The following is a 17045-nucleotide window of genomic DNA, read 5'->3' on the forward strand; positions in this document are numbered from 1 at the left end:
TCCTAGATGGGATGGCGGCCGGGCAGAGACGCTCCTCACTTTCCACACTGGGCAGCCAGGCAGAGGGGCTCCTCACATCCCAGACGATGGGTGGCCAAGCAGAGACGCTCCTCACTTCCCAGACGGGGTGGCGGCCGGGCAGAGGCTGCAATCTCGGCTCTTTGGGAGGCCAAGGCAGGCGGCTGGGAGGTGGTTGTAGCGAGCCGAGATCACGCCACTGCACTCCAGCCTGGGCACCATTGAGCACTGAGTGAACGAGACTCCATCTGCAATCCCGGCACCTCGGGAGGCCGAGGCTGGCGGATCACTCGCGGTTAGGAGCTGGAGACCAGCCCGGCCAACACAGCGAAACCCCATCTCCACCAAAAAAAAACGAAAACCAGTCAGGCGTGGCGGCGCGCGCCTGCAATCGCAGGCACTCGGCAGGCTGAGGCAGGAGAATCAGGCAGGGAGGTTGCAGTGAGCCGAGATGGCAGCAGTACCGTCCAGCTTTGGCTCGGCATGAGAGGGAGAGGGAGACGGGAGAGGGAGAGGGAGACGGGAGAGGGAGAGGGAGACGGGAGAGGGAGAGGGAGACGGGAGAGGGAGACGGGAGAGGGAGAGGGAGACGGGAGAGGGAGACGGGAGAGGGAGAGGGAGAGGGAGACGGGAGAGGGAGAGGGAGACGGGAGAGGGAGACGGGAGAGGGAGAGGGAGACGGGAGAGGGCGAGCAGTAACGTTTTATATTGATTTTTTATTTTTAAGTGGCTTGTTTCTCTTGTCACTTCTGTAGTTGAGCTCTGCTAATGTCTCAACTTTATTTTACTGGGTTCCAGTGCCCTCTGCTGGTTATGTTTCATCTAAGAAATAAGCTAACTTGATCATTGGCTATGGCTAGCATGATCCTTTAATAATAAAATGGGTAGATCTTTGACCTTGCCACTTATCACTTAGGTAGGTAACACATTCTAATTTGTTTGATATTTTCCTAAGTAAAAAATATTACCGGGTCAGGTGCGGTGGCTCACGCCTGTAATCCCAGCACTTGGGGAGGCCAAGGCAGGTGGATCGCTTGAAGCCAGGAGTTCGAGACCAGCCTGACCAACATGGCATAACCCCATCTCTACTAAAAATACAAAAATCAGCCAGGCGTGGTTGCTCACGCCTATAATCCCAGCTACTCGGGAGGCTGAGGCAGGAGAGTCACTTGAAACTGGGAGGCGGAGGTTGCAGCGAGCTGAGATTGCACCACTGCACTCCAGCCTGGGCGACAGAGTGTGAGAATCTGTCTATAAATAAATAAATAAATAAATTTTAAAAATGTAGAATTAAATACATAACAATAATAGCATATAGGACAGAAAGGAGGTTAATGGGGTTCTAAGGTCTTTGCATTATCCTGGAAGTGGCAACAGTTATAATTAAACTTTAATGAGTCAAGGAAACAAAGACTAGAAAAGGATGTATATTAAGCTAATAGAGGTGGAAATAGAGGAATAATTTTTAAAAATGTAATCCATAGGAAGGTAGGAGAGAAGAAAAGAACACAGAACAGGTGGACAAATAAGAAGTATATAGCAGATTTGAACCAGAGTTTTTAGTAATGACATTGAATATACATTATTTAAATATTCCAAATGAAAAAACAAAGTTTACCAACTGGATTAAAAACAATGTTGCTTATGTACAAGACTGTATCTATCTGTCTATCTATGAAACACACAAATACATACATGAAATGTGGATCCAGGAGAGCTAAAAATGAAATAGTATAAATACTAACCTAAAGAAAGTTGACAAAGCCACACTGACATTGGATGAAGTAGACTTTAAGGAAAGAAGCATTATGAGATAATGAAGCGTGTTCCAGACTGATTTAAAAAGGTTAATCAGGAAGATAAAATAATTCTAAACTTATCTTACCAAATAACTAACCTGAAAATATAAGCCAAACTGACAGAACTAAAAGAGACAGATCAATCCACAGTCATAGTGGGGGATCTTAACTTACCCCCTTAGTAACTGTTAGAATCAACCGCAAAAGGAAAAAAATGAGAAGATAAAATTGAACAATACAGTGAACAAATTTAATCTCATATATGTATATACATATCTCACTGTACTTCAGAATATACTTTTGTTTTTCAAATGCACATGGAACAAAATTGATGGTAAAGCTGGGCCATAAAACAAAGCTAAAAATTTTTCCAAAAAAATTGAAAACGAGGAATGTTTCTCAATCAAAGAAAATATGATAGATATCAATAACAAAAGTACAGCTAGAACGGGGCACAGTGGCTCATGCCTGTAATCCCAGCACTTAGGGAGGCTGAGGTGGGCAGATCACTTGAGCTCAGTAGTTCAAGACCAACTTTGGCAACATAGCTAAACCCTCTGTCTACAAAAAATACAAAAATTTGACAGGTGCAGTGGCATGTGCCTATAGTCCCAGCTACTCAGGAGGCTGAGGTGGGAGGATCGCATGAGCCCAGGAGTTCGAGGTTGCAGTGAGCCGAGATCGTGCCATTGCACCCCAGCCTGGGTGATAGGAGTGAAACCTTGTCTCAAAAATGAAAAAAACAAAAGCTACAGCTAGAAAGTTTCTACATGTTTGAAAATTAATTAGTATATTTCTAAATAATCCACAGATTGAAAAAGAATAAAGTGATGAAAATACAGAATGTCTACATTTGTGAGATATGGCTAAAACTGTGCTTAGAGGGAATTTTTTAGTTCCAAAAGCCTATATTAGAAAAGAAGAGAGCTAAATATTGGTGAAGTAAAAGTTTAGAAATACTAAAGAGCAGAATATAAGGAAGTAGAAAACAAACATGACATTGAACAAGGAAGCTAAAAGCTGGTTCTTTGCAAAGTCTAACAAATAAAAAAAATGGATAAATCCTTGAAAAGAAAAATCAAGAAAAGTGAGAGAAGACAGCAAAAACCAATATTGGAAATAAAAAGGAGGATTGCTACAGATCTTACATTAAAATGATTTTTGGAGGATATTATGAAAAAATTTATGCTTATAATTTTGAAACTATTGGAGAAATTTACAGAAAGTACAGTGTAACAAAATTGACACAAGGAGGAATTAAAAATGTGAATATTCTTATATCATTTAAATTTCTTATAATTAAAAAGAAAACTCCAGATCCAGATGGCTTCACTGTTGAACTCTTCCAAGCATTTGAGGAAGAAGTAAGGTTATACTTTCATATACCTTTCCAGGGAACAGAAAAGAGGGAATGCTTTCTACCTTGCTTTTTGAGGGCAGGGAGCCTTGATACCAGAACCATACAAGAACATCAAAAGAAAGGACAATTTCAAGCCAATCTTTCTTTAATATAGATGCAAAAGTCTGAAATAAAATATACCAAATCCAGCAACATAACAAAAGGTAGTACAACCAAGTTGGGTTTCTCAGGAATGGAAGATTGTTTAAAAATTCAGAAATCTGGCCGGTTGCAGTGACTCACACCTGCAATCCCAGCACTTTGGGAGGACCAGGCAGGCGGATCACTTGAGGTCAGGAGTTCGAGATTAGCCTGGCTAACATGGTGAAACCCGGTCTTCTCCGCAGACTATTCCTCCTACCTATCCTTTAAATGATGTTCCTTAGGGCTTTCTCTAGGCCCTCTGCTTCTCCTTTACTCCATGGTTTCGGTGTTCATTTATGTTCTCATAACTTCTAAACACGTTGCTCCAGCTCAGTGCGTGACACTTGAAACCATATTTGTCTGTCTATTGGACATCTCTACTCACATGTCTTACAGGCACCTCAAACTCAGCATGAACTCATCTCCGTAGCCCCTAAATCGGTTTCTCCTTGGGAAGGTAAATGGCTCAGTAAATGACACCAGCATTCACCCTGGGAGTCTTTAGTTTGTTGACCAGCTTCTCTATACTACCCTCTGTCCCCAAGATCTAAACTCTCTGAGGATAGGAATGTATTAGGTTTTATTCAACAGTGAATTTAACAATCCTTAGAATAAGACTTGGCATGTAGGAGGGGCTCAATTATATTTTGTTGAATACATCTTCCCCCCTTTCTCCATATTCACTTTGGTTTCTGAACTCTGTTAGTTTTTATTTCCTAAAATCCGTTCATTCCTTTTTATGCCTATAGCCCCTTACCTAACTAAGACTACCATCTATTACCTGGACTACCATGAAGGGACCAAGGGCTGAGTGGGTGGCTGCAATTTGGAAGAAGAGGTTTGGGGTTAGGACATATGTACATTGCTGGTAAAATATCTAAGATGCAGGCCTTTACCTTTTTCCTTAAAGGACACAACTGAATTCAGACTTAAAACTACATGGTTTGCCACCTCATGATATTTAACTTTCTTTTATGGCCAGTTACCACAATCATCTGTGTAAGTTCATCTATTCTGAGAGTGAGGGGGAAGGTGGCTTTGGAAGGAAAGGATAAGAAAGGATAATAGAAGATCTGTCTGTTGTTATTCCATATTTTTAATGACATTCCTACCCCCTTTCTGCTGAGGGCCACTAACCTTGACTTTCCAGATATACAGTGGTGCTCTGTCCCACTTTAATGAATGCCATCAAAATATGGAATAACAACAGACAGATCTTCTATTATCCTTTCTTCTGAATCATGACAATCAGAATCATGACAATCTGAATCATGACAATCAGAGCATCTTAATCTATTTGGTTAAAGAGGCTCCCAGTTCAGTATTGTAAATTGAACTCCTTAATCTGACCTTTGTGTTTTTTGTATAAGATAGTGCTATTCTTGGCTTCCTGTGAATTATAAGACAGTTTTGAAAATCTCAGGTTTTCTGTTTGGATTGTTTGAATTGGTATTTCTTAACACATTTCTTACTGATAAATCAAAATATTCCTGGGGGAGCAGGAATTAAAAATGAGGGCAAAAATCTGCCTCTAAGATTTTTTTAATCCCTAGATTTGAATTAATATGCTTGCCTTTTCTCATCCATTTTTCCAGTTTAAATGTCAAATGTGTTGGACCATTTGTGTTCATGTGTGGGACATTTAGTTGTTAGCAAGTTTTTTTTGAGACAGAGTCTCGCTCTTTCGCCCAGGCTGGAGTGCAGTGGTGCTATCTCGGCTCACTGCAAGCTCGGCCTCCCGGGTTCACGCCATTCTCCTGCCTCAGCCTCCCGAGTAGCTGGGACTACAGGCGCCCGCCACCACGCCCGGCTAATTTTTTGTATTTTTAGTAGAGACGAGGTTTCACCGTGTTAGCCAGGATGGTCTCGATCTCCTGACCTCGTGATCTGCCTGCCTCGGCCTCCCAAAGTGCTGGGATTACAGGCGTGAGCCACCGCGCCCGGCCATTTGTTAGCAAGTTTTTACAAATACCACTGCCTGACATTATTATGCTTATTTATACTTTTACCTGAACAAACTTGTTTCATCCCCTGCCCCACCTAATTGAGCTCTAGGAGAGCAGGAGCCTTGTCTGTTTTGTTCTACAGTACCTTGTTTCAGAGTAAACATTTTTAAACAGTTATTGACTCAAAGAGTCTGCTTCTCCTTGGGGACTTGAGTGGTTTTCCTTCTTACAGTATTCTCATCTCTTTTTTTCCCCCCCAAGCACTGGAGAGGGGTCTCCTGAAAACCCTGCAGAAACTGGATGAATATCTGAATTCTCCTCTCCCTGATGAAATTGATGAAAATAGTATGGAGGACATAAAGTTTTCTACACGTAAATTTCTGGATGGCAATGAAATGACATTAGCTGATTGCAACCTGCTGCCCAAACTGCATATTGTCAAGGTAGGTCTGTAGGGGTTGATGTCGCATTGCCATTACCTTGTATTGTATTTACTAAAGTGGCATTTCCTTTGTGCTCAAAACATTTCTGATTTTATATGACTAGTTGTTTAACTCAATGCTGTTTAGGCAATAGTTGAAGCACCCTAGAGTTAGTTAAATGGAAAATTATGTCTTAAAATTGAGGAATATAAGAAAGATGAATATTTTTTTTTCTGTGACTGCATACAAATTCAAAGATATAATGCGTGACTTTGAATTGGAGTTTGCCACACTGACTTATGTTATCAAATTCTGTTCTGTGATCACACCTTGCTTTCTCTATTGAAGGCAAAAAGTATTGAGCATTTATTATATGAGACACTGGGCTGGGCACATTGTTAAATAGAATAATAATAAGCGCTAGTTGTAAATAAAGACCTAAGATAACAAAAACAGATCTAAAATAGCATATGTGTGTTGTGAAGTATTTTCCAGTGATTATACTTGGCTGTCTTTCTGGATGTCCAAGGCAGTTATTTGCAGTCACTGTCACACTTCTAAATCCCTGGTGTAGCTTGCAGTCTTGGTCATTATTTAAAACTCTGGTTAGAATGATGGTGATGGACTTTTTTTCATATAGAAGCAGTTCTCAAAGATTTAGAGCATTAATTATTTGCTCCAAAATCAGAGATATGTCTAGTTTACAAGACGTGGAAATAAGTCTGTTAACTTTTGATCTCTTTGTATTTCAGGTGGTGGCCAAAAAATATCGCAACTTTGATATTCCAAAAGAAATGACTGGCATCTGGAGATACCTAACTAATGCATACAGTAGGGACGAGTTCACCAATACCTGTCCCAGTGATAAGGAGGTTGAAATAGCATATAGTGATGTAGCCAAAAGACTCACCAAGTAAAATCGCGTTTGTAAAAGAGATGTCTTCATGTCTTCCCCTAAGAATACGCTTTTCCTAACAGGCTACTCCTTCCTGTAGAGCAGAAATTGTATTTTGCACGAACATGCAGTTATTGAAGATTAGGATCAAGGATAGACAAGGTATAGTAGTTATCTTAAAATATACACTCCTAAGCAGTATTATTTTAAAATCCTTTACCCTGGCTACCTCCCCTACCCGGGTTCCCCTCTCTTTAATTTGGAGACACTCCACCACAAACTTTTCACTTTAGAGGTAGCTTGCCATCTCTCAGGAGCCCTCACCATTGTGTCCATTCACTGTGTATAGATGGCAGAACTTTTGAGGTGCAATGTTTAATTGTTAAAAATAGTAGCCACGACTTTATCAGGCAGCCCCAAACTGGTGCATAATGCATGGTACAAGAAATATTTATGTATTTTTTGGAATTTTGTAATATTTAGTAAGAGTATATGAAAGGATTGCTACTGTATCAGAAATATTGTTTCAATTTAGTCTATCCTGGATATGTACTAACGAATATTACCACCAGAGAAGAGAGCTTTCTACAAAAGTCACTACAGATTTTGCTATATTGCTTTGTAGATAGATTTTTACTTTTGCCTAAAAGCATTTATCCTTCATACCAATTGTAACATCTGACACCATGTAGAAGCTAAAAGTTTAGAGGGAGTGAGGGTTTTCTCAAGACCTTCCTCAAGCATTTTATCTTTAGAAGAGAAACTGATGGGCACCTGATACTCTGTCTAAATACGTTTGTTATATGTGTTTTGCCCTGTGCCATTCATTTGGAACTTTATTGCATTCTTTATTTTAAAAAGCTTGTTTTTACGTAATCATAGAGCTTGCTATTTGTACATCTGTTGAGCAACACTACATAACTGATTTTTAGTTGACTTAGCTATAGCAGTACAATGATTAGTAATGTAAAAATTAACACAGAAATTAACCTAAGGAATGAAGGGTGGGTTTGTCAAAATATCAAGTAAATTTTTGTTTCTAAAGTACATTTAATGTAGATGACCTAAAGAATGCGTTATCCATCCTATATAAAAGAAAGATAAAACACAGGTCACCAATTTTCTCATTTCACCCCATTTACCTTGTATAGAGGATTGTTCATTCCTTTGGGACTAAGTTATAGTTATGGTGAGTGTGTATTTACTGTAGTTTTGCCTGATCTCACTCATTGCACTTCCTGGAGTTAAATTTTCCAACAGCCATGTTGAGGAATAGCACTCTGCATGTTTTTGTTTTGTTTTTCGGGGTTTTTTTTAATTGAAGCCCTAAACCAGGAATTATTTGTGTTCTAACAGGAGGATGAACTTGCTGAAAATAAAACTTTGCTATGTATTTACTCTTTTTTAAAAGACAAAAGCAAAACCAGACTTTCTACGTACTACTCCAAAGACTGTGATTGTGACTATAATACATTTTTGGTAATTTTTTTATACCTAATTTGTATAGGAAGTGCTATTTCTCATAGGCTGTTTCTTGAAATTTTAAGTTTATTGCTTTAAAATGGCAGTGTTTCTCCCACTTTGATATGCTAACATTTAGTAAGCACTGGCTTTATGAAAGCGGCTTTTTATAAGTATACTGCATTTTTTGAGCCTATCATTAATTAGCTTAGTATGAAAGATAAGAAAATCTCCATGTTGTATCCATTTGGCTCAGGAAGATTCTTTGCCTTACCTTTCTTAGAACTCTTTATTGCTTATCAAAAGTTTGAGTACCCGCTTGGTTTTTTTTTGGTAATTAAATATTGTATGATTTATCTGGTTCAAGGAAGATGCACTATTCAGTTATCTATTGAGAAATTATTTTGCAGTGGTTTTAGTGGGTGAAAATGTCCCATCTGCACCAGTACACAGGCAGGCATTATCATTCTTCACCTACTTTTTAAATAGTGGCAACTTGGGATTCATTCTGGTGATTCTGAACCTTGCCTCATAGCTTAAAGTATAAAAAAGATTCAAGAGCAGTGAGGTTTGTTCTTTCCAGTGAATGGTGGACTGAGTGGTGCGAGGTGGAGGGCTAACAAGAGGAAAGAACTACATTCTTCAGAATACAGTGATGAAAATTCATTTTGAAACTCAAATATTTTCATTTTGGATATTCTCCTGTTTTTATTAAACCAGTGATTACACCTGGCCATCCCTCTAAATGTTCTAGGAAGGCATGTCTATTGTGATTTTGATGAAGACAGAATTATTTTTCTCTGTAGAAACACAGATACCACTTTATCAGGGAAGTTAGTCAAATGAAATGGAAATTGGTAAATGGACAAAAGCTAGCTAGTAAAAAGGACGACCCAGCAACATGCTTTAACCCCATTGTATGTTTGTGGAAAGAGCATAGTTTAACATCTTGAGAAATTTGGGACATAAAGTTTTCATGGTAGACAGTTCATGCAGTATATGAATTGCCATAATGGAAATAATCTGATTTTATTTTTACAACTAACATCCATTCCCCTTCATTTAAACACCTTTTGTGTTTTACTTCAGTGAGGAGATTGGAGTCTGAATGGATCTGTTTTCCAAGAGATTCTGAGAAATTTTTGTATTCAGCAGTTGGAAAGCTCTCTATTCTAGTTGATAAAACTTCCCTTTTTTGATGTAGATGCAGATATTCTATACAGTTCTGTTGTCTTTTACTAGGACTGTAAACTTTTGTGATAAAATTCAAATAAGATTTTATTTCTTGGTAATTTTGGCTTTCACAATTTATCTTTAAATCCTTGAGCAATCTGTATACAATTAAGAGATTTCTGACATTTATTCTTACACTAAATGGATCAACTCTAGGATTTAGGCATGTTAACTTCTGTTGTGTTTTGAATCTCTCCAGAGTTGCATGTAGATAGCATTTATTTCTGTGCCCTTAAACCCATTTAGAAAATAACTACAAAGTAAAAATGTAGAGGAAATAGAAATGTATTTTTTCATGAACATTTTGATACAAATTTCATCATTTAATGATTCACCAATTTCTTGCATTAATTTGAATTTAAGCATTTAATTCAAAGAGAGGGGAGCATCCATTATTGATACATGTGGGCTTTTAAAAACTCCATCCTTTATAAATAGTCAAGGTTTGGGCCACACAAAGTATATTTTTATCATGGAAAAATTTCAACTCCTCAAGCCGTAATGTTGAACAGAATTGGAGTATTTTCTTTATAATTTCTTGAACAGGCAAATGAAAGCTTATTATAGAATGCATGTATTTTCTTTTATCTTTGGAACATCAGCACCAGTATATTGCTGGCAGCTATTGTATTAAAAAATAAAGTATATTTTCACTATCATAAAGGATTCTTTTTTCCCCCCTCATGAAAATAAACAACAACTTGGGGTAAAAGTGTTTGAGACTACTATTTTTTTTTCTATGAGTGATTCAGCACATTTAATAGGTTAAAGGAGAAAAACCATAGGATCATTTCAATAGGTACAGAAAATAACTTGATTAAAATATTCATGCTACTCATTCTTAGCAAAATAGGTAACTTTTTTTTTAACCTGATAAAGACTTTTATTGAGAACCTATAGCAAATGAAACAGAAGCGATCTCGTTAAAGTCAAGAATAAGACAAGGTTGCCCTCTATCACAGCTACTATCCAGCTACTTTAACAGCTACTTTATTTAGAGATATCCTAGCCAATGCAGTAACATCAGTGAAAGGAATAAAGAATGGAAAAGAAGCAACAAAATGACTGCCCTTTGCAGGTAATGATGTTGATGGTGTGTATGTGTATAAAATCCAAAATAACTTACAAATACTAAAAATAATTCAGCTGGATTTCTAGTTGCAAGATCGAGGAACAAAATTTAATATAACTACTATATACAAATAGTAAGCACATTGAAAGCCAATAGAGAAATTGGTAACATTGGTTTTTTTCTGGAGGAGAATTGGGTGCCTGAGGTAAAGGGGTGGGAAATTATCAATGTATACTTTTAAGTTTTTAGAAATTGGTAAATATATTACCTATTCTAATAAACAAAAAGTGCTTTAAAAAACGAATAAAGATCCTAAGTGATTGAGGATCAAATCAAACAATGTGCAATTCCTAGCCAAGCATGGTGGCTCATACCTGTAATCCCAGCACTTAGGGAGGCCAAGGTGGGAGGATTACATGAGGCCAGGAGTTCAAAACCAGTCTGGGCAATACAGCAAGACCCTGTCTCTACAGGAAAAAAAAAAACAAAAAACAAACAAAAAAAAAAGCCAAGTGTGGTAGCATGAGTCTGTAGTCCTAGCTACTCGGGAGGCTGGGGAAGGAGGATCTCTTGAGCCCAGGAGTTTGAGGCTATAGTGAACTATGGTTGTGCCACTGTACTCCAGCCTGGGTGACAGAGCAAGACCCTGTATCTTTTTTTTTTTTAAGTGCAATTCTTTATGGAGAAAAGTACAAGACATTATTGAAAGGCCTGATAGAAATTTGTTCAATGGATAGGCATACCATATTTATGGATGGAGAGCTCAAAAGCATGAAAATTTAAATTCTGACTACTTATAAATATATTTGCCAACAAGATCCTAACAGGTGTTTTTGGAAACTAGATAAATGGATTCAAAAATTCATGTGGAAGAGTTATGCCCCCAAATAGCCAACATATATTTGAAGATGGGGAAAGAGAACTTGTTTGACAAGATACCAAGACTTAATAAAAACTTACAGTAATCGATGGGTAGGATATAGGTCACAGCAACACAATACTACTGCTGCAACAACCATAAAAAACTATTAAAACACCAAAATAGGCCAGGTGCGGTGGCTCAAATCCCAGCACTTTGGGAGGCCAAGGCAGGTGGAATCACCTGAGGTCAGGAGTTTGAGAGCAGCCTGGTAAACATGATGAAACCCTGACTCTACTAAAAATACAAAAAATATATAACAATAGTGATAGAAGGAAGGTAAGTGGAGTTAAGTACTTGCAAGATTCTTAGGTTATTTGGGAAGTGATGAAAGTACCAATTTAAGAAAATGATAATAAATCATGGATAAATATCACAATTTCTAGGGTAACTACTAAAAGAACTACAAGAATAAATAACTTAAAAATCTAAGACTTAAGGAGGAAATGGAAGTTGAAAAAAATTCAATTCAAAAGAAAGGACAAGGGGATCAAATGAACAAAACATAGGACAAATTGGAAAAATAGCAAAAGGTTAACTGTAAATCCAACACTGTTAGTAAATTTATGAAATGTAAATGGGCTGAACAATGTTAAGTGTCAAACTGGATAAAAAATCAAAACCCAATATATGCTATTTACAAGAGACAAATATATGGGCCCAGAAGGGTGAAATTAAAGAATGGAATAGTTAATTCATTGACACAGTAAATAAAAAGAAAGAAGATGTGCCTATCATACAAAGTAGGTTTTGAGGCAAGAAGTGTTACTGGAGATGAAAAAGGATGTTTTACAATATAGGACATTGATAATCATGAACATTCACTATGAAAATGTTAACAGTCCTGCATTTCTGTGTATCTAATAACACCTTTAAATAAAAATTGACTCAAAGAGAAATGTCTGCAATTATGAGGTCAAATTCATCCTCATAATTGGAGATTCTTAACATAGCTCTCAGTAACTGATAGAACAAGGAGGAAAACACGTGCGTGTGCACATACGTACACACATAGGAATAGCAGAAGAGAGAATAACACAACCACTTGACCTAATGGATGCATATGGCATGCTATATCCAACAACTGCAGAATGTACATTCTTTTCAGGTATATGTGGAACTTTTAGTGAAACAGACCCTATGCCGAGCCATAAAACAAGCCTCAACAAATTTCAAAGGAATGAAATACAAAATACGTTTTCTGACCACAGTGGAATTAAACTAGAAGTCAATAGTTGAAAGATACCAAGAAAATCCCCAGAATAAGGAACTACTTACAGTAGCCTACAACCCATGATGAATTTTTTTTTTTTTTTGACAGAGTCTCACTCTACTGCCCAAGCTGGAGTGCAGTGGCATGATCTTGGCTCACTGCAGCCTCTGCCTCCCAGGTCCAAGTGATTTTCCTGCCTCAGCCTCCTTAGTTGCTGGGATTACAGGCGCCCTCCACCATGCCCGGCTAATTTTTGTATTTTTACAAATACAAAAATTGTAACCTGTTGGCCAGGTTGGTCTCGAACTCCTGACCTCAAGTGATCCACCTGCCTTGGCCTCCCACAGTGCTGGGATTACAGGCGTGAGCCACCACATCCTGCCTGAAAATCTAAAGTTTTAAATTTAACACACATATTTATTATACACCAGGAACTGTTCTAAACACTTTACGTATATTAACTTAGTCTCTTTAACAATCCTATGAGATAGAGACTATTATTCCCATTTTATGGGTGAGGAAACTGAGGCATGTGGAGGTTAAGAAACTTGCTCAAGAGCCTGGGAAACATAGCAGGACCCTGTCTCTACAAAAAAAAAAAAATTAAGGTTGTGAGAGCCTCTGGTCCTAGCTACATGGGTGGCTGGGGCAGGAGGATCGCTTGAGCCCAGGAGTTCGAGGTTGCAGTGAACTATGATTGTGCCATTGCACTCCAGCCTGGGCAACAGAGCAAGATCCTGTCTCTAAATAAGAAAAGAAACTTGCTCAAAATCCCACAGCTAGTAAATGACAGTCAAAGCTAGGCAATATAGCAATATGCAGATAGTGCTCAGCAATCTTTAAAAGTGTGTCTGTTTTCCTCCTTAAAAGAGTGGACTTGGCTCCCTGGCCCCTGACAACTAAGGTAGTTGGTTGCCAGGTAAGCAGAGGTCCAGCTGGAACATATAGATTCTTTAAAAAAATAAATAAATAAAAATAGAGACAGGATTCTAGCTCTGTTGCCCAGGCTGGTGTCAAGCCCCTGGCCTCAAGCAATCCTCCTGTCGTAGCCTCCGAAACTGTTGGGATTTCAGGCGTGAGCCACCGCGCCCGGCCAAGAGCACGTTTGGTTGGTTTGTCCTGAGGGGCAGGTCTCTCGCACCAAGCAGGAGGTAGAGGTCTCGGGCCCAGAGGGGCCCTGCATCCCCCACCTCCTGCTGCGAGAGGCATCAGCCGGCCTTGTCCCTAAAGCCCCTGCTCGCTTTCCTGTCACCACTCGGGTGCGGTTCCGAAGTGGCCAGCAGGGGCCGCGGTTCCCCTCCTTTCGGCGCCACTTCTGCAAGCAGGGCTGGGACAGCTGCAGGACCTCGTCAGTTTGGGGAGCTGCCAGACCCGATCAGCAGCGTTGTCGGCTTCCTTCCTCTTTATCAGATCTGTCAGGGCTGCTGCGCGCTGCGAAGGCGCCTCCGGCCTCCTTCCCTCCTTCCTGTGTCGAACGGACGCTCCCCGGCGCCGCTGCGAACCGACACCTCCGCGCCTCCCCCGGCGGGGCAGGGCAGGGACCCGCTCACACCCTAGGTGGGGTGGGGTGGGAAGTGCCAGCGGTCTGGGTGTGACGGAGCCAGCCAATGTCCACGCGAGGTCAGGTCGCACGTGGGCCTCGACGCTGGCACTTCTGCATGTCCCTGGTTCTCGGCCGGCCACCGGCAGCTAGAGGAAGCGCTTCGCCCGCGAACCACAGGGCTGGGCGGCGGTTGGGTCGCGGCAGGGCGAGGGCTCCGCTGCGGTTGGCCCCGAGCGGCGTCCTTCCCCCGGGGGCCCCCGATCACTGCCTGGGGACTCGAGAGCGTCCCCGCCGCCGCGCCAGGCGCCAGTTCCCTGCTTCTGAGAGCGCGCACGGGAGCCCGAGCGAGCCCTCCTGGACGCCCGGCACAGGCCGGAGCGCCGACCGCGGGAGGGGCCACCTGGGCACTAGGAAAAGGGGCCACGGTTCCAGGCGGGGCGGTCCCCGCTCTGCTGACTCGGACGGGCCTCACTTCCCCGCCAGAAGAAGCGGCACCCATCCACGGGGAGGGACGGCCTCGGGACATCCTTTGGGGAAGCCAGTGACACATTTCTGATCCAATTTCTTATAAGAAATAGATAAACCTCAGTTTCTTCCTGTGCTTCCTTTCTCTAATTTCCTCAGTCAGATAATAATTGTCATTAAACTCGATGTACCAGTTATTGTGCTAAAGTTTTTAAAATGTTTCAAGTCTCTTCATATTCTCAAGTCTATTAGAGGAGGGACTATTCTTGTCCCCATTGTTTTATATAAAGAAACTTAAACCTAGAGAGGTTAAATAATTTGCCCAAGATCACACCAGGAACTGATAGAGGTCATCTGGCTCCAGAGCTTAACATCGCACTGGGTTGGTTGCTGTCACCTCCCCTGTGCAGGGTTTAAGGAGACTCGAGGAGGCTGATTTTTTTTCCTCTTCTCCTCTTCTCTCTTCTCTTCTCCCCTCTTCCCCCCTCTTTTCCCCTCCCCCCTCCCTCCCTCCTTCCCTCCTTTCTCTCTCTCTTTCTCTTTTATTTTTTATTTTCTTTTCATAGGCTTTCACTCCCATTGCCCAGACTGGACTGCAGTGGTGCAATCTTGGCTCACTGTGACCTTCAGGGAAGCTGATTTCTTAGCCCAGCTGTGGAACTGTCCAGAGCTCCCCAGCTACCCAAGTGTATTCCTCCTCTCCGCCTCCTCCTCTTCTCCTCCTCCTCCTCCTCCTCCTCCTCCTCCTTCTCTCTCTCTCTCTTTAATTTTTTAAGAAACAGTGTCAAGCAATCCTCCTGCCTCAGCCTCCTGAGTAGCTGGCACTACAGGCACGTGCCACCCCAAGTGGCCTTTTCCAGCAGGAAGTTTAGGAGCCTAATGAGCGCAATGCAAGCAGAACCAAATGGTTCCAATACCACGCACCAAGTGCATTGGCACCACATTTCTGGGTAAAAGGGTCCTGCTTGGCAGGGGGGACTTTGAGGGGTCAGGGAGGGCAAAAGGGGCCTCTCCCCTTCCTTGGCTCAGAGATGTTCACGCAACTCCCTGCCGTCTGCAGAGGTCACTGTAAGCCAGCAGACTCATTCTCACGTGGCTGAATGGAGGTTTTCCAATCAAGGAAGGGGCAAGAGAAGAAAAGCCCAGGGCCCTCTCCATTCCCTTCCTTCGTAGACATGCTTTTAAAAAATGATTTAAAGGCTGGACACGGAGGCTCATGACTGTAGTCTCAGCTGCTTGGGAGGCTGAAGTGGGAGGATCGCTTGAGCTCAAGAGGTCAAGGCTGGAGTGAACTAGGTTCACTGTGCTTCAGCCTGGACCACAGAGTGAGACTCTGTCTCCAAAAAAAAAAAGAAAGAAAGAAAAAAGATTTAATCTCATCTCTTAAATAATTTACTGCGGAATTGCTGCTAATCTTTACAGATCCTCCAAGAATTCTATGGTTTATGCCAGCATCATGAGTTTGCCCCTTACTATTTATTGATTTTTGGTCAGAAAATGTAAATAAATTTAAAAAATGTACATAAAGTGAAGCCCAAATCACTGGTGCACAGTATTGATTTGATTATCAATAGAGATTTTTTGTTGTTCAATCTGCAGTGTTCTAAAGTTACCTTTCAACTTGAAATTCTAAGCCAGCTTGCATTATCAGATTTTTTAGAAACCTTGATGACATCAAGCTGGAAATATTCCAGGACCCTCGTCTCATTGAAGAAAGAGCTAAGGATGAGTGACTCACCCAAGGCTCTGTTGGTTGCAGAATGGGGGCTCCTTGGACCAGACAGTGTGTTTAGCAAAAACATATGATGGCAACCAGGCTGGGACAGAGTTGCTACTAGAATGACATCTTTATCCCCTCGTCGGCTTTCAGGGAGTTCTCTGACTTCCTAAGGAATGGGCTTAACAAATAATCCTTGGCAACCAGAATGTTGATCTCATGTTTAAAAATATATTTATCTAATGTTAAAACACACGCACTTAACTATATGGCATGCTCTATTCATTAAAAAATAATACTGTTGAATGCCTCCCGGGTGCAAGGCCCTGGCTGGATGTGAATTAATGAAGACACGTGATTTCTGCCTTTAAGAGGCTTCCAGGATCACAAGGGAGAAAAGACATGAACACAAATAACTGGGCCATAAAAGCAGAAGGTGAGAAACGATTCTCAAGAGACTAAAAGTACTATTTATTCATCCATTCACAAAAACGTATTGAACCTACTTTATGAAGATTCATAAAGGGAACTTTTCACTAGGAAAATCAAAAGGGTATCAGGGAGGAATTTTTTTTTTTTTTTTGTACAGGTTTTGAATTGTTTAAGTGATTATCAAAGCAATTCTGCTCATCGTACAAGTTTTGGAAAGTACAGAAAACGGTAAAGAAACACATACGCAAATTTCCCCCAAATTTACCACCCAGAGACGACTATTTATAGTGTGTTTTCCAGCCCATTTGGCGAGGATTTTTTTTTCCTTTATGAATTTTAGAGCTTAATTTCTATTACAAATCTGTTA

At 40.7% G+C, this 17045-nt stretch overlaps 1 protein-coding gene across 1 annotated transcript in view, besides 3 other annotated features; it reads left to right on the forward strand.

Moving 5' to 3' along the window:
* Positions 1 to 10029, forward strand: part of CLIC4 (chloride intracellular channel 4) — a 98875-nt gene extending 88846 nt beyond the window's left edge. The window contains exons 5-6 of the mRNA NM_013943.3: positions 5568 to 5749; positions 6481 to 10029. Of these exons, the coding sequence (NP_039234.1) occupies positions 5568 to 5749; positions 6481 to 6645 (347 nt within the window). The 3' untranslated portion in view covers positions 6646 to 10029. The remainder of the gene's footprint in view (positions 1 to 5567; positions 5750 to 6480) is intronic.
* Positions 13157 to 13881: an enhancer, noted in NCBI's record as "H3K4me1 hESC enhancer chr1:25173940-25174664 (GRCh37/hg19 assembly coordinates)". NCBI's record gives its function as "activates a minimal SCP1, AML or CMV promoter by ChIP-STARR-seq in naive H9 embryonic stem cells {active_cell/tissue: H9 hESC(naive)}" and the evidence as "EXISTENCE:reporter gene assay evidence [ECO:0000049][PMID:30033119]".
* Positions 13996 to 14195: a silencer, noted in NCBI's record as "silent region_440". NCBI's record gives its function as "represses an Ori minimal core promoter by ATAC-STARR-seq in GM12878 lymphoblastoid cells {active_cell/tissue: GM12878}" and the evidence as "EXISTENCE:reporter gene assay evidence [ECO:0000049][PMID:35858748]".
* Positions 14286 to 14505: a silencer, noted in NCBI's record as "silent region_441". NCBI's record gives its function as "represses an Ori minimal core promoter by ATAC-STARR-seq in GM12878 lymphoblastoid cells {active_cell/tissue: GM12878}" and the evidence as "EXISTENCE:reporter gene assay evidence [ECO:0000049][PMID:35858748]".

Source organism: Homo sapiens, chromosome 1 (genome assembly GCF_000001405.40).
Source record: "Homo sapiens chromosome 1, GRCh38.p14 Primary Assembly".
NCBI lineage: Eukaryota > Metazoa > Chordata > Mammalia > Primates > Hominidae > Homo > Homo sapiens.